General features: G+C 40.2%; 1 protein-coding gene and 1 pseudogene across 2 annotated transcripts in view, besides 1 other annotated feature; both read right to left on the bottom strand.

The window, feature by feature from the left end:
- The window catches only part of DNAJC3 (DnaJ heat shock protein family (Hsp40) member C3), a 117,850-nt gene that overhangs the window by 79,381 nt on the left and 17,367 nt on the right, over nt 1-21,102 (bottom strand). For both annotated transcript variants that reach the window (XM_011521104.3, NM_006260.5), the window contains exon 2: nt 6,271-6,381. In XM_011521104.3, the coding sequence (XP_011519406.1) occupies nt 6,271-6,381 (111 nt within the window). The remainder of the gene's footprint in view (nt 1-6,270; nt 6,382-21,102) is intronic.
- Nucleotides 8,183-8,472: an enhancer, noted in NCBI's record as "active region_7883". NCBI's record gives its function as "activates an Ori minimal core promoter by ATAC-STARR-seq in GM12878 lymphoblastoid cells {active_cell/tissue: GM12878}" and the evidence as "EXISTENCE:reporter gene assay evidence [ECO:0000049][PMID:35858748]".
- Nucleotides 19,906-21,027, bottom strand: MTCYBP3 (MT-CYB pseudogene 3; annotated as a pseudogene).

Below are 21,102 nucleotides of genomic sequence, written 5' to 3'. Positions count from 1 at the left end.
GCTCAGGAGGCCAAGGCAGAATCGCTTGAACCCAGGAGGCAGAGGTTGCAGTGAGCCGAGATCACGCCACCACACTCCAGCCTGGTGACAGAGCGAGACTCCGTCTCAAAAAAAAAAAAAAAAAGAAAAAGAAACTATGATGTGTATCCCATTTGAGAGTCACTGCTACTTGCCAGATCACATTGAACAAAATGACACTTTATTTTGGAGACAGGGTTTCACTCTGTTGTCCAGGCCAGAGCACACTGGCACCATCAGCTCACTGCCTCCTCAAACTCCTGGGCTCAGGCAATCCTTCCACCTCAGCCTCCCAAGTAGCTAGGACTACAGGTGGGCACTGCCATGCCTGGCTAATTTTGTTTTTATTTTACTTTTGTAGAGACGAGCTCTTGCTATGTTGCCCAGGTTGGTCTCAAACTCCTGGCCTCAAACAATCCTCCTGCCTCAGCCTTCGAAAGTGCTCAAAGTGCTAGAATTACAGTTGTAAGCCACCACACTGCCTGTTATTCAGATTCAGAATGCACTAGCAATTATTTACATTCTCCCTTTACTAAATCACACCAATAAATTGCCATGTTTCAGCATCACTGATTTACACCTCTTGGTGAACACAGTAACATTTTACTGGGAATTTTGGGAAAGAGCTGTCTCAAAAAGTCTTGTATTGCAGTGATAAAGCTAAAAAAAAAAGGAGCAGTCATTTAAACCGACTTTAATTATATGCCATAGCCCTTGATGTTTCTAATAAATGTGAGACTAAGAAAACAAACAATAAAGTATAAAATAGGTAGAAGGTATATACATTTCTGCAAACATTCTAATGGTAGTAGGTAAGAATAAATACTTTAAGACACACTTTTTCTAAGACAGTAACTGAAAAGAATTTAAATTGCCATGCTGAAGCACTGAAGACAGTTTGAATCACCAGAAAAATAGTGGACTTAGTAACGATGTGGTCACACAGTAAACAGCCCTTAATGAAAAATCTTGTGCAAATTATTGTGCAAAGTAACCACTATTTCTTAAGGTGAGTTAGTCATCGAAATGCAAACTTCCCAACAGAAATGTCACATAGTTAAGAAACCCCTGTTATTATAGCAAACCTGTTTTTAGAAAAGCCTTAATTTTCAGAGACACAAAAATTATATTTCTACATTCTTTACATATCCTACTGCACCTTTTTTTTTTTTTTTTTAAGAAAAAAAGCAAGACAGAGAAGGAGACAGACAGAGTCTCACTCCATTGCCCAGGCTGGAGTGTGGTGACACAATCATAGCTCACTGCACCTGAGCTCAAGCAGTCCTCCCGCCTCAGCCTCCTGAGTGATTATATACTATTTTCAAAGAAATATTTATATTCATTATTACCATCTGATCTTCACAAAAATTCCCATGGGTGACACAGCAAAAACTGCTGGGAACTTGCAGGTAACTTTTTAAAGTGTGCATTTTCTTACATAACTGGACCAATGTCACAGGATTACCCAGTGGCAACGCCAAGATTAAAATGTTTCCCTTTTCAAGGTAATCCACAAAGCCATATTTTTCTAATACCTTCATAGAGTACATACGATAGAAGTTCTCCGTATATTTATACAGCAGGCTACTGCAATGCAACTATTTATGTTTCACCTGACATCCCAACAGGTACCAGCTACCCCTACATTCCAAGGTGAGATTTCTAGGGCCACTTGGAAAAGTTTGTAAGTGTCCTCTTTGCAGGACAGAGTAGACTGACTGGGGTATCTGACTCATCCCTGAAAACTCTAAATGGCAAGAGACTAGCAGGCTCTCTGCTCTCATAAGAAGGAAGAAGGGGTTGCTATTTGGACTGTCCTCTGTCTACAGACATGGTCAAGGCAAAGAATACATGTATGCTTCTCACAGACCAAAGAGAGCTGGCTTGGGTTGTCTTAAATCTCGTCCACAAGGCAACTCATGAAGAAGTCCTTTGCATTTCCATAAGACATTTTAGAATCAGCGAGTCAATTTCAATGAAATAAAGTGCTAGAATTTGATTAGATTTCATTGAATCTGTAGACCAATTTGGGGGCCACTTGACAACTTTACAATATTGAATCTTCCTATTCATGAACATGGTATATCTCTTCATTTAAGTCTTTCTTAAGTTTCTTATAACTATTTTTGTGGTTTTCAGCAAAGTGTTCTTGCACATCTTTCATTAGATTTCTTCTTAGGTGTTTTTTATATTTGTTTATTGCTAATATAGAGAGACTCTGTTGCTACAAAAGTATGTTGAATTTGTTATCTAGTGAGTGGCCTTGCTAAATTCATTTCAGTTATGATAGTCTGCAGATTATTTGTGTATCAAGTCCTCTGTGAATGACAGTTTTATTTCTTCCTTTCTCAATCTTTATGCCCTATTTCTTGCCAAATTACAGGGGCTGGGCAATTGTATTAGTTCGTTCTCACACTGCTAATAAAGACATACCGGAGACTGGGTAATTTATAAAGGAAAGAGGCTTAATTGACTCACAGTTCGGCATGAGTAAATTTCCCTCAGGAAATTTACAATCATGGCAGAAGGGGCAGCAGACACATCCTCTTCACATGATGGCAGGAAGGGGAAGTGCAGAGCAAAAGGGGGAAAAGTCCCTTATAAAACCATCAGATCTTATGAGAACTCATTCACTTTCATGAGAACAGCATGGGGGTAACCACCCCCATGATTAAATTAACTCCCACTGGGTCCCTCCCATGACAAAAATAAGTAAAACTGTATTTTCCCCCGTGATTAAATTACTTCCCACTGGGTCCTTTCCATGACAAAATAAGCAAAACTGTAATTTCCCAATAACATAATCTTGTATATGGAAAATCCTAAAGAATCAACACCAACACAAAAATTATTAGAGCTAATGAACACGTTCAGCAAGGTTGCAAGACAGAAAATTGGTATACAAATTGCACTGGCTAGGCCAGGCACGGTGGCTCATGTCTGTAATCCCAGCTCTTTGGGAGGCGGGTGGATGACTTGAGGTCAGGAAGTTCAAGACCAGCCTGGCAAACATGGTGAAACCCCATCTCTACTAAAAATACAAAAATTAGCTGGACGTGGTGGTGCATGACTGTAACCCCCGCTACTTGGGAGGCTGAGGCAGGAGAATCGCCTAAACCTGGGAGACGGAGGTTGCAGTAAGCTGAGATTGCACTACTACACTCCAGCTTCCTGGGTGACACAGCGAGACTCTGCCTCAAAAAAAAAAAAAAAAAGAAAAAAGCATTGGCTAGGACCTCTAGCAGAATGTTGATTACAAGTAGTAATAGTGGGTATCCTTGTCTCGTTCTCAATCTCAGTGGTGGTGAGGTGTGGGGAGAGCTATCAATATTCACCATAAAGTATGATGGTAGCTATAGGATTCTTGGTGTACTCACCAATACAGATTCCCAAACTGTTTAAAAGGTGCTTTTTCTTTCAGAAATGGTGTTAAATATTTATCAAATATTTCTTCTGCACCTTTGAAATAATATTTTTCTCCTGTAGTCTTTTAATGTGATGACTAATACTGACTTTTGAATGCCAAACCAAATTTACATCCTTATAATAGAAACCAGTGGTGTGTGTATGTGTTTGTGTGTACAAACATAATATGTGGACTTCTTTAAACTTTAGATTCATTTGCTATTATGTTTTTCAGAATTTTTGTAGTTATGTTCATGAGACTTTCCTATAATATTTTTATTGTAATGTTCTTACACTTGGAAGAATGTGTATTCTGTAGCTGTGTCCAAGTGTTATGTGTATTTCAATTGGGTCGTTAACATCTTTACTGTTATTTTTGTCTGTTTTCCTATATATTATTGAAAGACGCTAAAGCCTTCCACTGTAATTATAAATTTGTTATTTCTCCTTTTAGTTCTGTCAATTTTTGTTTTATGTATTTAGAGGCTATGTTATTAGGCTTATACCCATTTAAAATTGATATTTTTTCTGGTAGAGTGAATCCTTTATTTGCGTGGAATGGCTTTCTCTACTACTCACAAAGGTATCTTTTTTTCCACTTTTCCCCTCATTTTTCAACTTTTGTATGTTCTTATAATTATGCCATGTCTCTTGAGTAGAGTTTTTGTTTTCTGTTTTTTTAATTTTGAGATGGAGTCTCACTCTGCCACCCAGGCTAGAGTGCAATGGTGCGATCTTGGCTCACTGCAACCTCCGGGCCCCTGGGTCTAAGTGATTCTCCAGTCTTGGCTTCCCAAGTAGCTAGGATTATAGGTGGCCACCACCACGCTTGGCTAATTTTTATATTTTTAGTAGAGACAAGTTTCACCATGTTGTCCGGGCTGGTCCCAAACTCCTGACCTCAAGTGATCCACCACCTCAGCCTCTCAAAGTTCTGGGATTACAGGCGTGGGCCACCATGCCCAGCCTTGAATAGAGTTTTTTCATCAAAAAAATATGTTTCCTATGAGTTCAGAGAGCTAATAAAAATCTGAGTTTAATAAAAATCTGAATAATAAAAATCTGAGTTTAAGAAAAAGCATAAAGAAAAGTATGACAAACCAAAACCTAACTACATTGAGTTTATATAGTAAATTACAACAATAGGATGATAGTTTTTCTGGGAGCACAGCTGTATCTTATTAAAAAACACACCAGCTGGGCACGGTAGCTCACACCTATAATCCCAGCACTTTGGGAGGCTGAGGCAGGCAGATGGCTTGAGAACAAGAGTTTGAGACAGGCTGGGCAAAATGGTGAAACCCAGTTTCTATTAAAAAAAAATACAAAAATTAGCTGGGCATGATGGCATGCAGCTGTAGTCCTAGCTACTCAGGAGGCTGAGGTGGGAGGATCACCTGAGCCCAGGAGGCAGAGGTTGCAGTGAGCCAAGATCACGTGACTGCACTCCAGCCTGGATGACAGAGCAAGATCCTGTCTCAAAAACAAAAACAAAAACAAAAACAAAACAAAACAAAACAAAACACCACCCTCGGTTGTTAACTACACACTCTCAACCATTCAAATCAAGGTAAAAATATATAAGTAAAGAACTCTGAGGAAAGTTCAAAAAGTCCCAGTACAAAAGTTTAGCAGTGACTCATAAGGAAATCCATGCCAGATGTGGTGGCTCATGCATACAATCTCAACACTCTAGGAGGCCAAGGCAGGAGGACTGCTTGAGCCCACGAGTTTCAGACCAGCCTGGACAACATAGTGAGACCCCATCTCTACAAAAATATAAAAAATAAAAGTTGTAAAAAGTAGTTGGATATAGTGGCACACACCTATAATCCCAGCTATTCAGGAGGCTGAGGCTGCAGTAAGCCATAATCACCATAATCACACCAATGCACTCCAGCCTGGGTGACAGAGCAAGGCTCTGTCTCAAAAAAGCAAAAAAAAAAAAAAAGAAAAGAAAAGGAGAGAAAATCCATTAAGCCTTCACTAAGAACCTATTTATTCTGGTCATCTCACTTCTTACAGTCCTAACAGATGAGCAGCTGCACGACAGTTGATTCTACAGACAGACATGAGTAAGAAATAAGAAGCAACAGTATAAATGAAGAGCAGCTGGGGTCTGACCAATACTGAAGAGGCAATGAACTGCAGCATCTCCCAAGGATATCAAGTGAACATATTGAAAACCCAAGTCATCAAGAAAATTAAACTGCATTCAGTAAAATCTGTTCAAAAAGTCAGAAGCTGGCCGGGCGCAGTGGCTCACGCCTGTAATCCCAGCACTTTGGGAGGCCGAGGCGGGCGGATCACGAGGTCAGGAGATGGAGACCATCCTGGCTAATATGGTGAAACCCCGTCTCTACTAAAAATACAAAAAATTAGCCGGGAGTGGTGGTGGGCGCGTGTAGTCCCAGCTACTCGGGAGGCTGAGGCAGGAGAATGGTATGAACCCGGGAGGCAGAGCTTTCAGTGAGCCAAGATCGTGCCACTGCACTCCAGCCTGGGCGACAGCGACAGAGCGAGACTCCGTCTCAAAAAAAAAAAAAAAAAAAAAAAGTCAGAAGCCAAATAATACACTGAGAAAAGCTGTTTGTCAGAAATATCTTGAGTTATCCTTGGTAGTAGCAGGCCTCACTAACCTTCAAACTTCTCTCATGTTAGATGCACATACATTTAAGTGTTATATATTTATTTTATCCATCTATTTCGCTCAGAATCCCACAAATATATTTAAATGTTTTATTTAAACATGAAATAATGTTTATTTTAAATGTTATTTTTAAAAAAAGAGCTATTACTAGAATTCACTAAGACAGACACTGAGTGATTTGGTTCCATGATACAAACCTACGGCAGCATGAAACTGAGATAAAGCATCAGCTAGCTGTCCAGCTGCAAGTAATTTCTTGCCCAATTCAAGATGTTTCTCAACATCTGCATTTACTCCACATTCAGCACCTAAAAATAAAATTAAAAACAATCAGTTAACTTTCCACGAACTAAGATTTAATTCTAAAAAATATAATATTAAAAATAGTTATCTGTCTCAGTCATCTACTCAGATGAGAAAAGTCACAGAAGCTGAAAAATGATGTAAAGAACGTAACATAAAATACAAACCCTATTTCATTATATGGAGCACAAGACAAAAAATGTACCCATCTTGACCTAATCAGTCAAAAGAATGTAACCAGTCCAGAAAATAAAGGGAAGTTGTGTAATGCAGAAGTAGTAAAAATATTTTGAATAATAAAATGAAAATTGTTTGAAGGTAGAATCTCACCTTTAATGAACATCATAGAGACTGTTACAATATTTAAGTATTTATTAAGCACCTATAATGCACTAGGCACTATTTTAGGTATCTGCAATAAGTGAGCAACATTAAAAAACTCCTGCCCCTCATACCGTCCTGGCGCCTGATGTTATCGTGGGAGGAGACAGACATGATAAATAAGTAAATTATATAGTATGTTGGGTGAAAAGTACTGTGGAAAAAGTCAAGCCATGTGAAGAGGTAAGGAGTTCAGGGGACTTAGAGTAGCAAATAAGCGCGTAAAGGGCAGGCCTTCTTGAGAAACTGACATCTGAGCAAGACTTGAAAAAAATGAGGAACTCACCATGCAGACAGCTAGGAAAATAGCTTCCAGGAAGAGGGACCAGCAAGGGTCCTAAGTCGGGAGCATGCAGATATGTTCCAGAAACAGGAGAAAGGCCTGGATGGCTGCAGCAGAGCCAAGAGGAAGATAGTAGTATGAGGTCAAAGAAGTAGAGGACCTGTCTACAGCTTTGAATATTTACTTGTCTTAAAACAGGGAACTACTGTGGAATCAATAACATGATCTGATGGACTAGGCCAATTATCAATATGTTGCCTCTCCGCTCTGAATTCATCCTTCGGTACCTGCACTGCAATAAAGGCCTGGAGTTTGCAGGCATTTCCTCTTTACAGTGAGTACAATGTTATGCTTTGTCAGTACAGGGCACTGAAGCAACACTGCAGAAAGGACACTTCCTAGTTCTGCTTGGTGCATTTTACTGTCTTCTGGCTCCTGCTGCATGGTCTGTCATGGGGTGGACTTCCTGCTGCATGGTATGGATGAGGAGGACATCCAGGGGTACTTAGCCACAGCTTATGCCCAGGGGTCCAGTTCCTCAGTGATCTGGCAACCTCAGCCCACACACTCCAGATTTCACACCCACAGAAGCACCTGGACTCCCTTCGTAGACAGGCTAACCAGCCTTCGCTCACCTATACATGAAAGGATTGTTTCCTGCTTGCCCAATTACTATGGACCAGCCACACAGCAATCTTCTCCACCAGCAAACCTGGGCTACAGCTATACCTTCTCCAATAAGCTCTAAACCCCAGCCTGGTAGAGGGGACCCCTCTTGCAAGTTGGTCCTTCCTTGAGGCTCTTAGTCCTAGAATATCCGTTAGAGTTCTCTTTACATCTTTAGTTACTCTCCTATCACAACTTAACAGTTCTTAGATTAAACTTCCCCTTTCTAAGTAACTACATGATTTCGGTCTCTCCTCAACGGACCATGAGTGACACACAATTGGTATTGGGAGCAGTCCTAGGAGACAGGCCCACAGAGATGCAATTCGAGGACTGGTTTGGTCATGGCCTTGGGCTTCAGTGCAGTGCTAAGTTCCTCGCCAATGGGAGATGAAATGCTAGTAATCCACAGTAGGTATTGGAGTCACAATTAACTAAGCTATCACTTTGGTTGACTGTAATGAAGTACTGAGGGACATGTCTTAGAAGCCCAAGTGGCTGCTGCAACTGACCATAATGGCAGAAATTATGAAAATAAGGACTTTGATGTGGGGTGGGTTCTTTTGAGAGCACTAGAGCAGGGTCCCCAAGCCCCCAGCCACGGACCAGTACCAGTCCATGGCCTGTTAGGAACTGGGCCACACAGCAGGAAGTGATCGGCAAGCCAGAGAGCATTACCACCTGAGCTCTGCTTCCTGTCAGATCAGTGGAGGCATTAGATTCTCACAGGAGCACAAACCCTATCATCAATTGCGCATGCAAGGGGTCTAGGTTGTGCATTCCTTATGAGAATCTAACTAAAGCCTGATGATCTGAAGTGGAACAGATTCATCCCGAAACTATCCTCCCCCTACCCAACCCAGTCCATGGAAAAACTGTCTTCCACAAAACCAATCCCTGGTGCCAAAAAGGTTGGGGACTGCTGCACTGGGGCACCTACAGGGAGAAAATAACCAGCTCAGATCCAACTTTCAGATCAAGTCATGGTCTTAGAGCTGATTTAGCTGAAAATCAAATATAAAATTTAATTTAATTATGAGGGTTGCTGAATTAAAACAATAGCTGAATTCATGGTCTCACCAAGTTTCTCCTGTGAAAGGGGACAGATTAGTAAAGAATGGAATCCTTAAATTTGGAATGGGAATATTTATTTGGACCCAAATGAAACTGACCAACTTGAACCCCCAAGTCCGTCTGAGTCTCCCTTACCAGAAGTAGTTTTCCCCCCTTGTCTGAGGAGATGACTCTTCCACTGCTTAAAAACCTGAGGACAGCTTTACCCATGGTGGATGCCTTAAAAGAGGATGTTCAGTCCTCCTCAAGACACACCCTAACCACTGCCATTGTCACTAACCCATGTCAAATTTTGACAGGCTCCAGAAGAACAGGTATATACTATGACCCAAAGGAAGTAGCTGAACACACTAAAAGATCTGCTGATAAACTAGCACAATCCCACAGAACATGTATGGCAATGGATTCTAAAGGTGCTAGACCAGGAGGGTGAAATATAACACTACATTGGCTCTAATTCATTTATATGTATATACTTATAAAGCAGAGGTCAACAAACCGTTTTTTGTAACTAAAGTTTTACTAGAATGGGGCCATGCCCATTAATGGATGGGCCATATTGTCTATGGCTGCTTTCACACTATAGCAGCAGAACAGAGTTGTTGTGACAAAACCCATATGGCCTCTAAAACCTAAAATATTTACTATCTGACCCTTTACAGAAAAGGTTTGACTACTTCTGTACTAGAGATCCCACATTTAATGTGTTAACTCACAAAACTGGAAGTGGCTTTAACAGCTTACTTGATTGGCTGACTGAAACTTGAAGTTTAATTTAATTAAGCATTAATTATATTAATTTAACATTTAATAAGGCTGAGGTTCCAAAGTTTCCCTAGCATAATAAGAGAGAGGGATCCAAAGGTTTAGAGAGATAGGAAGGTTGGACTGGATTTATCATGTGTTACCTACACACCAAATTGCCACTTATGTCCATGAGAGGGCCTAGAAAACACTCCTTTTACTAAGACATTTAGAAACCTATTAGTGGCCAGGCACAGTAGCTCAAGTCTGTAATCCCAACACTTTGTGAGGCCAAGGCAGGAGAACTGCTTGAGGCCAGGAGTTCAAGAGCAGCCCGGGCAACATAATGAGACCTCATCTCTAAAAAATATAAAATAATTAGCCAGGCATGGTGGCACACACCTGGAATCCCAGCTATTTAATACTTGGGGGGCTGAGGCAGGAGGAAGGATCCTTTGAGCCCAGGAGTTCAAGTCTGCAGTGAGCTATGATCGTGCCACTATACTCCAGTCTAGGAGACAGAGCAAACCTTGTCTCTGAAACAAAATTAAAAAAAAAAAAAAGAGAGAGAGAGAGAGGGAGAAATGTATTAGTGAGGGACCACCTAACAAGGTTTTCAAAATTCTTGTCACTCCCCTTTGTAGGACAGGTATGACTACAGGAGGAAGTCAATATTGAGATAAGTTGAATTCAGTGCGGATGATGGGATTTTAGAGTTGCACAGAAACTTAAGCAGCAGCACTGAACCATGAGAGACTAGGTGGGCACATCAATGCAGAGGCTCTTAATAATCAGGTAGATAAAATGACATACTCTATGGGTGGCACTCAACCTCCTTCTCCATCATATCTAAGCTTGTGCAATGGACCCATGAACAAAGTGGCCATGGTGGCAGGGATGGAGATTATGAATGGGTTCAAAAACACAGATTAGGCCAGGTGCGGTGGCTCATGCCTGTAATCCCAGCACTTTGGGAGGCCTAGGCGGACAGATCACCTGAGGTCAGGAATTCAAGACTAGCCTGGCCAACGTGGCAAAACCCCATCTCTACTAAAAATACAGAGATTAGCTGGATGTGGTGGTGCATGCCTGTAATCCCAGCTACTGGGGAGGCTGAGGCATGAGAATCACTTGAACCCACGAGGTGGAGGTTGCGGTGAGCTGAGATCATGCCACTGCACTCCAGCCTGGGCGACACTGCGAGACTCTGTCTCAAAAAAAAAAAAAAAAAACACACACACACAGATTAGTCCTTTCTAAAACTGAAAAAACTGATCTGGCTAAAGCTACTGCAGAGCATCTGATCTGCCAATGCTGGAGACCAACACTGAATTCCCAGTATGGCACCATGGGTGGGAAAGAGACAGCTGGCCACCTAGTGGCAGATTGATTTTATTTGGTTCTCTTCCATAATGGATCCGTTTCTCATATTCCAGATATGAATTTGCCTGCAATGCTTCTGCCAACTCCACCATTCATAGACTCACAGAATGTATTACCTATCATTACAGCATTCTATACAGCACTGTATCTCCTTAAGGAATTCACTTCATAGCAAAAGAGGTGGACAATGTGCTCATGACACTAAGATTAACTGGTTTTACCATTACTCCATCACATAGAATGGCTTACTGAAGACTTCAGCAGCAGCACTAGTTAGGAGACAAAAACCTGAAAGGATGGGGCTCTGTTTTACAAGCTGCAGTTTATTATTTCAATCACAGACCATTATATGATGCTATCTTGCCCACAGCCAGAATATGTCAGTCCAGGAATCAAAAAGTAGAAGCAGGCATGGCTCCTCTCATTATTATACCCACATAAGCCACTTGCAAAATTTCTGTTTCTAGTCCTGGCAACTTTGAGCTCTGATGGTTTGGAGATCTTAGTCCTTAAAGGAGAAATGCTTCCAAAGGGGACACAACAATGTTTCCGATTAATTGGAAGATGAGACTCCCATATGGCCATTTTGTACTTCTTATGTCACTGAAACCAACAAGCCAAAAACATTGGTTAATCTACTAGTTGGAAAAATGAATCCGAATTACCAAGGGCAAACAAGTGTGCTATTTTGCAATGGAGGCAAAGTAGGGTAAGTGGAACCCAGAAGATTGCCTAGGGCATGTCATACTACTTCCATGCTCAATACAAGGTTAATGAAACGTTACAGCAACCAAAAAACAGAGCAAATAAGACACAGTCCCTTCAAGAAGGAAAGTTTATGAGTCACTCAATCAGGTTAAAAAAAAAAAAAGCCAGAGTAACTGAAATTCTGGCAGAAGGCAAGAGAGCTATAGAACAGGGAGTAGATGAAGGAAGCCACATATTTCAGCTACCACCTCAGACCAGTTACAGACACAAGCTATGCAGTAGCTTTGCATATTTTCTCTTTGATTATATACATGTTTATTTGTATATACAGTCAATCTTCATAATTTAGATTCTGTATTTGTGAATTTGCCTATGCACTAAAATTCATTCGTAATCCCCAAACTCATATTCACAGCATTTTCAGTCATTCAAGAACACATGCATGTTCAGGGTAGCAAAATACTGAAATCACTCCAAGCATATGTTCCAGCTGAGGCTGAACAAGGTAACACTCCATCTTCCTGTGTCAGCTTTCATAGTATAAACAATTGTCCTTTCCACTGTGCATTTGGTGCCACTTTTTTGTGTATGCTTCCTGTCACTGATTTCACCACTTTGAGTGACTCCCAAGCATAGTACTGAAGTACTGTCAGGTGTTCCTATGCTCATGAAAGCTGGGCTGTACCTTACTGAAAAAATCGTGTTTTAGTTAAGCTTTCTTCAAATATGAAAGACACTGCCATTAGCTGTAAGTTCAATGTTAATAGATCAACCATACATAGTAAGGTGTCTTTAAACAGAAACACACAGAAAACAAGGTTATGTCTTGATCTGTTGACATAAGTTGTGATTTGAGGCTTGCAGAAACTTAACCCTGTATTTCCCCTAAGAGAAATGGTTCAATATTTGCTAATGCAGTGTTCACGATGACTTTACAGAACATAACCACCATGAATAACAAGAATTGACTGTACTAACCATATTTTTCTCCCTAATTCCCAATTTTATTTTATACACAAATTACTGAAGTTAACTTTACAATTTAGTCTTTATATAACTGAATATTGAGTGGGATGGTGATGGAGTAAGAGTAGTAATTTATGTAGCCAGTGATGGATACGTGACTGATGGAACCAGGAGTCTTCTCCATTAGGGTATGGGTAAGAATTTCTTCCCTGCAAGGATAGCTGTATCTTCTTAGAAAATTGTCTCAGTTCTTCTATTCAGGCTGCTATAACAAAAATACCATAAACTGGATGGCTTATAAACAACATTTATTTCTCATAGTTCTAGAGGCTAGCAAGTCCAAGATCAAGGTGTCAGCAGATTCAGTGTCTGATGAGGGCCTAATAGACTGCACTTTCTTGTTGAGTCCCTATGTGGTGAAAGGGGAAAACAAGCTCCTTCAGGCCTCTTTCATATGGCCACTAATCCCAGTCATGAGGGCATCATCTAATCACCTTCTCCTTAAGGCCCTGCCTCTTAATACTGTCACATCAGATTAGGTTTCAACATATGAATTGGGGGCATGAGGGGAACACAAATATTCAGACCATAGCAAAAATAAAGTTGCTTTGTTGTACTGGTATTCAAATATGTGCACAAAGGCACGTACGGAAACTAAGTAGCCAACGCATTTCTCCTTTATGGTGAGCATGATGCTAAGCTCTTTGGGGTGCTGAAGGACATTACAGAAGAAAATCAAAATAATGGTTGCTTGGGAGGGTAAGAGAAAAGACAGACTGGGAAGAGGCAGGAGGGAACTGCTGGTAATGTTCTCATCATGCTTAGAGGTGTGGGTTACACAGTTATATGTGATTATCAAAACTCAGCAAATACACACTTAAAATATGGACGTTTCATTATACATTAATTTTACATGCAAACAAAAGTTGGTTATATGCCTGTTAAAGTATTTAGGGCCATGTATACTGGTGTTATCTTGAAATGTATTTTTTTAAAGGATTAATGGTTGGATACAGAAATGTCCAGATGCATATGTGTTAAAACAAATGTATTAAAATATTAGTGGTAGAATCTAGATGATGGGTATAGGGATGAACACTGTAAAATTCTTTCAACTTTGCGATATGTTTAATAATAAAATGTTGGGAATACATACACTATAGTGTTATAATGGGGGAATGTACACAGGGTACTGTGAGGGCACAAGTTAAAGCACCTAACACAGTTAAAATTAAATAAAATTTAAACTTGTTTCACAGTCACACTAGTAACAGTTTAAGTGCTCAATAACTAGTGGCTGGTATAGGAGAGAAAAAATAATTTTTTATCTTCATAAACTGGGACTCCCTGTAACAAAAGACAGATTAACAAGAGTTGTTTCATATGTATACCTCAAACATACATGCGAGAAAATTCAAGAGAACCGAGTAAATCTCCAGAGTAGATTTCAATGAGAGTTTAAACTTCAGCGGAATACCATCATTTGCTAAAATAAAGGAAGTGGAGGGTGATGGGGAAATCTGTTACAGGGGGATGGCCAGGAAAAAACTGAAAACAAGAGTAAGATTTGTTGTGCAGTTTTTAAGTCAATGCCTTTTCCATTTAGCGGCCCCTCTCCTCCTACTGCAGAGCAGGGAAAAAGATTTCCCTCATAGATGTAAATTTCTCTGACAAAAGGGCAACTTTTCAGAGCTATTCTTGTGTCTACAGTTTCTCAAAATAACCAACTCTAAATAACCAATATGACAAAGAGACATATTTTGCAGTAGCATATTGTGGGCTCCTGAAGTCATATTTTGGGGTAGCGTGACCTAAGCTCCAACACCACTGCATGGGACAATGCAAATGATACCAAATATCTCCCATCATCGCGGAAAGTTCCACTGGACAGCCCTCGGGGGATTCCCCTGAAGGCTCACCTGAAACCTGAAGGAAAAGTAGGAAGGATGCTACCTTTGTCGAAAAGGCTGGAATAGGGAAACTGACCATCCAAAAACAAAGGACATGACATTTAAATGCCTAGATGTCACATGATTAATGAGGCTTTAAAAAAAATGTCTAGTATTTCAGCTAGCTCTCCTTGCCATCATGACATAATTATTCTGGAGCGGAACACTTTAAGTGCTAGGTGACTCTAATAAACATCCAGAGAGGAAGAAGGAAACCAATTCAGTATCTACATGATAATCCAGGCAACATGATGATGACATGACCATGGAGTAGCAGCAGTGAACACAGAAAAAATAAGAGAGAAAAAAGACACACATGACTTATATCAACAGGCTAGATATGGAGGTCAAGTACAGAAAAAGCAGGAGTCCAGGATACCCAAAGCAACTTACTGAGCAACTACCTGCCATTTTAGTCACCAAAAGCACTGAACTCCTTATTTCATCTAATACAGCAAAAAGCTGATTGGAATTCACTTTACCTTGCTCTTTCTCCTTCTAAACACAGTAGCTTTCTCAGCTACTCTGTAGTTTCTCCATAGTGTCTTATTAGGTTGGCACAAAAGTAACTGAATACCTTGGTTGCCTGTTGGACCTCTTGGTATAAGGAATGGAAAGAAAGGAAGAGAGATTTTGGGGCTCAGAACATACCCTCCCAAAAAATGACTGCAGGAGACCAGAATATGCCATCCCAAAACATATTTTTTGGCATATTACTTGAAGCTGGTTAGTTCGAGAAACTACAGACATTAAAAACAGTTCTGAAAACCTCTTTTATGAAAATAATTTATATATAAAGAAAATTTTCATAAGTAAAGGTGCCTGGTAGGTGAGCTCAGTGATGCAGACCTGTAATCCCAGCTATTCAGGTTGCTGAAGTGGGAGGATTGCTTGAGCCCAGGAGTTCGAGACTGGCCTGGACAATACAGTGAGACCCCATATCTTATATAAACAATAAAAGTAGGCCAGTTGCAATGGCTCACATCTATTATCCCAGCACTTTGGGAGGCCAACACAGGAAGATCACTTCAGGCCAGGAGTTCAAGACCAGTCTGGACAAGAAAAACACCATCTCTACAAAAAATTTTAAAAATGAGCCTGGTGTGGTGACACACACCTGTAGTCCCAACTACTCAGGAGGCTGAAGCAGGAGAATCACTTGAGGCCAGGTGCTACAATCATGCCACTGCACTCCAGTCTGGGCAACAGAGCATGATCCTGTCTCAAACAAAAATGTTTAAAAAAGAAAAAGAAAAGAAAAAAGAAACTTTATGAGGAGAAATGTAATACAAACAGACTTAACAATCTACTATGTGCTGGAAATTTCTGTATCTTTATTTCACTAAATCATCAAAACAACCCCAGGAAGTAAACGTCTTTCATAGTTTTATAACTGAGGCTCAAGGTAGTTAACCATTCTGCCCAAGGACTCACAACAACTACCGAAACAAGATCCATTTCCAAAGACCAGTTTTCTTTTCAGCACAGTGAACAATCCTTTTCCCCATGTAAACCAGGGTAAGCTTTCCACAGTTATTAGGCTTTTCATGCTTGACTCACTCAACCTATCATTTAACATAACATTTTAGCTACAATCATTTTCAACCTCACAGGATGAACCTGAAATCTAAAGGGAAGCCAAGAACACATGTGCAAAATTATTTGAACTGCTATGTCAAGCCATGTCATACTCTTACCCCAGAGGGTGAGTTACTCTTCAAACTAAATTTCTCTTGCCTTCTAGGATAAAATGAGTATCCAGCATTTCTTCTTTCCAGAATAAAACTGAGATCTTTATTACATTACAATTTTACCCAACATAATTTCCATTTAATTATATGATAATATCACTTCCTCTACAAAATTTCCATGGTACACTCTAATCATCCAGAGAGAATTAATTATTATTCTTTTGGTGTGCTTTGGTCACATTTCCATAACAGAACTTGCCACAGTCTAAGAGCTGGTGGTGCAGACCCTTCTTTCCCCATAAGAGGCATTGTGCCTCCTCACTGAGATGTTCCCAGCTCTCATCTTACCTTCCTTCAAATCCAGCCCCTATGCTGCTGCCAGGGCAATCCTTCAAAATGCACTTATACTAAAAATTCTGCAGAGTTTTCACATCATTGGCTAGATTAAAACTAAATCCCTTCAGATATAAAAGCAAACAACACCTTTCAGGGTCAGGTTTCATGCCGTGGGTCCAGCCTTATCATCCATCATTCCTCTACCTCTTACTTTATACTCCTATAAAAAACTAAACTTGCTATACTTCTCTGAATAGACCGTGTTCTCATGCTTCATCCCTTTGCATTTGCTATTACATAAAATGGTCTCCCACACTTGCCCACCAGAGAAATTCCTACTCATCCATCAAGACTCTGCCCTCATGTCCTTAAACCAATCCCAGGAGAACTGCATGACAGGCATTTACTGTGACTCTCGGCTACACTGTGGCCTGGAGACAGACAACACTGTGCATCTGCACTGAGAGTCACGAGCCCCAGAACAAGGGTGTGACAGGGAACACATCACATTCCTCCCTGTCCAGGACATGAAGCCAGTGCAGCTCCCTAACATGCAGCAGAGACCTCAACCACCCCTATCAGGACTAGTGCCTATGCTTATCATTGGAGTATTCGTGGGCAAGCTAGACGATCCAGCTCTATCCAGCTATCTCGCCCTGACCCACTGCTAAACAGAAGCTCAGGGGATGGGGGAATTTCCACTGTCTAGCCCATCACCTGAAACAACACAGTGAATCTCACAATAAACAAAGATCAGGTACACATCTGTCTGCTTTTGCTGCTGCTGGCTCATACCAGTAAGTACCACCTACAGGCCTGTAGGTTGAATTGCACAACAAATATAAAACCTGCCAACAAAAGTACACAAGGCTATAAAAGCAAAGCAAAAGACTCTACCCTAGAGCATACTCTATAGGCACAAGGCAGGTTGGGGGAGAGAAAAAAAAAAGCCATTTAAATGAAGTAAATTCAAACAACAACAAGTGTCAGTTTCTCTAGATGAGAAAAAACCAGCATTAAGAATTCAGGTACCATGAAAAATCTGAATGTTGTGACACCACCAAAAAGACTGCACTGGCTTTCTGGCAATGGACTACAACCAAAATGAAAATTCAGAAATGAGAGAAAGAATTCAAAGTGGGAATTGTAAAGAAGCTCAATGAGAACCAAGAGAAGGTTGAAAACCAACACAAAAATAACCAGAAAAGCAATCTAGGAAATGAAGGAAGAGACAGATGTCTTTAAAAAAAAAAAAAAAAAAAAACTTCTTGAAGGCTGGTCTTTTAAATTACCCAGTCAGACAAAAAAAAAGAATTTGTTTTAAAATCTTAAAAGAATTTTTAAAATCAAACAAAGCCTTTGAAAAATATGGGATTATGTAAAACAACCAAACCTACAACTTACAGGCATTGTGAAGGAAAAGAAAAAGTAAGAAATTTTAAAAAAACATATTTGAGGAAATAAAACAGGAAAAATCCCCTGATCTTGCTAGATATGCAGACATCCAGATATTAGAAATTCACAGGGCACCTGGAAGATACTATACAAGACGAACATAACCAAGGAATGTAGTCATCAGACTATCAGCGAATCTTAAAAGCAGTTAGACAGAAGTGTCAAATCATTGACAAAGGGAATCCCATCAGATTAAGAGTGAAATTCTCAGCAGAAACCTTACATGCCAAAAGAGTTTGGGGCCTCTTTTTAGACTCCAAAAACAAACGAACAAAAAAACTATAACCAAGAATTTTATATCCTACCAAACTAAGCTTCATAAACGAAAGAGAAACGAAGTCTTTTACAGACAAGCAAACACTAAAGGAATTCATCACCACTAGACTAGACCTATAAGAAAAGCGCAAAAGAGTTCTAAATGTGGAAACAAAAGGATGATGTTTGCCATGATAAATGCACATGTAAATACAAAGCTCACAGATCCTATAAAGCTATTACTCAATTGTGACTCCAAGGCAACTAGCTAACAACACTATAACAGGAACAAACTTTCACATATCAATATTAACCTTGAAGGTAAATGGCCTAAATGCTCCACCTAACAGATACAACGGCAAACTGGATAAAAAAACAAGACACTGGCTAACTCGGTGAAACCCCATCTCTACTAAAAATTCAAAAAATTAGCCAGGCGCGGTGGTGGGCGCCTGTAGTCCCAGCTACTCAGGAGGCTGAGGCGGGAAAATGGCATGAACCCAGGAGGCAGAGCTTGCAGTGAGCCGAGATCACGCCACTGCACTCCAGTCTGGGCGACAGAGCGAGACTCCGTCTCAAAAAAAAAAAACACAAGACACAACCATCTGCAGCCTACAAGAGCCTCACCTAATGGCTAAAGACACCTATAGACTCAAAGTAAAGGGGTAACAAAAGATGTATCATGCAACTGGGAAAAAAAGCAAGCTGGAGTAAACATTCTTATATCAGATAAAACAGACTTTAAACCAACAACAATTTAAAATTTTTTTTTAAAAAAGGCAAAGAAGGCCTTCCACAATGGTGAGTGACAGCATCCCCAAAAGTTAAAAATACCAAATGCATGACAGTGCTCCCGTAACTGGTTAATAGGGTGGTAGTCACTAGTCCATCAAGACGTCTTATTTAAGTGAAATGTGTGGGCAATCTTAGTTTCAATCTTAGTTTCATGGCCCTGAGGTAAGAACCAGATGCCAGGTACAGTTTCAGTATAGTCACTCCCAAGTGTTATGGGCCCAGAGCGAGGAGAGTAACACGCCCGAGAGGGATGATGATTTCTTGGAGGTTGGTAGATTAACAGACCAAAGCTTGGTAGGGGATATCCATGTTGGCGAGGTTAATCTTGACTGAAATACACTACGTCAGTGAATGAACGTATGCACTATGTAATATCAAGGGTTTCCAGTACTGGTCGATATTCATGTGGATCGAGTTTCGTCATGTGAGTGTAATGTCTGAATGAGTGATAGTTGATTAAGGGATTGTTAGTACATGCTTATATGCATGTGGAATGGCTCTTTAGTGTAAGGTTATGTGTGTATGTACTATGTACAATCAAGCATTTATAGCACATATATCATTCATGGGGATTAACAGTAATGCACAAAGTACATAGGAGTACTAATATATTAGTGTTGGCAGTCAATACTGACATATTAGTTAAAATATGTGCCAAAAAGAATACAGAGAATAGTTTAATTACAACTTCAGCTTTGGGTGTTGATGGTGAAGCGGTATTGATGGTGAAGCAGTGTTGACGGTGAAGCGGGAATGCTTTTTCTCCGAGTTGTCCTGGGGAGAGACTCTCCATTTCTGGTTTAGAAGACCAGAGTATTGAGTTGTACTACAAGGGCAGTTTCATTTAAGTAGCTTATTTTCAATTAGGGCAGTGAGTGGTATAAGGGCAAGGAAAATGGAGAATTACATAATAGATGCTGGCTGTCCGATGGTAACAAAAGGATGTTCAACTGGCTATCATCTGATTCATGTGACTGTAAGCAAGTCCGCCACTAAAATTCAGAACAGGCATTGACTTAATGGGCAGAATATTATGCTTTGTTGTTTGAACGTATGTAGTACAAGAATAACTGCTAGAATAGAATAGAGAATAGAAGGGCCAGTACACCTTCTAGTTTATTAGGGATGGATCGTAAGATTGTGTATGCAAACAAAAAATATCATTCTGGCTTAATGTGGGGTAGGATACTGAGGGGGTTGGCTAAAGTGTAATTGTCTGGATTGCTCGGGAAGTCAGGTCAAAATAATACTAGAGTTATTAGAAGGAGGAGGAGAAATATTAGACCTAGGATATCTTTGGTTGTATAGTAAGGGTGGAAGGTGATTTTGTTGGAATCTGATGAAATTCCTGAAGGGTTACTGGATCCTGTTTCATGCAAGAATAAAAGGTGGAGAATTGCTACGGCTATAATGATGAAGGGTAGGATAAAATGGAAGGTGAAAAGTCATGCAATAGTGGCTTTATCAACTGAGAACCCACCTCAGATTCATTGAACAAGATCCGTTCCAATATATGGAATGGCTGATAATAGATTTGTAATTACTGTAGCGCCTCAGAATGATATTTGGCCTCATGGGAGTATGTAGCCTATAAACGCTGTTGCTATAGTTGTTGAGTAGGAGGATAATACCAGTATTTCAGGTTTCTAGGGACATAAGTGACCCATAATATAAACCTTGGCCAACGTGCAGGAAGAGGCAGATGAAGAATATTGAAGCACCGTTAGCGTGAAAATAGTGGACTATTCTGCCGTAGTTTACAACTCGGTTGATATGGGCAACTGAAGAGAAAGCAGTTAAGGTGTCCGGTGTGTAGTGTATGGCCAGAAATAATCCTGTGATGGTCTGGAGAATTAAGCAGGCACCAAGAAGTGAGCCAAAATTTCATCATGTAGAGATGTTGGATGGTGTGGGGAGATCAATAAATGAATAATTTATAATTTTAATTAGTGGGTGTATTTTATGTATATTAATCATTAGTGTTCTTATAGTTGAAGTACAATGATTATTTTTCCTATCATTAGTCATGGTTACAAGCCA

This window comes from Homo sapiens, chromosome 13 (genome assembly GCF_000001405.40).
Source record: "Homo sapiens chromosome 13, GRCh38.p14 Primary Assembly".
NCBI lineage: Eukaryota > Metazoa > Chordata > Mammalia > Primates > Hominidae > Homo > Homo sapiens.
Note: the sequence above shows the minus strand (reverse complement) of the source record. Positions and strands in the feature narration are given on the sequence as shown.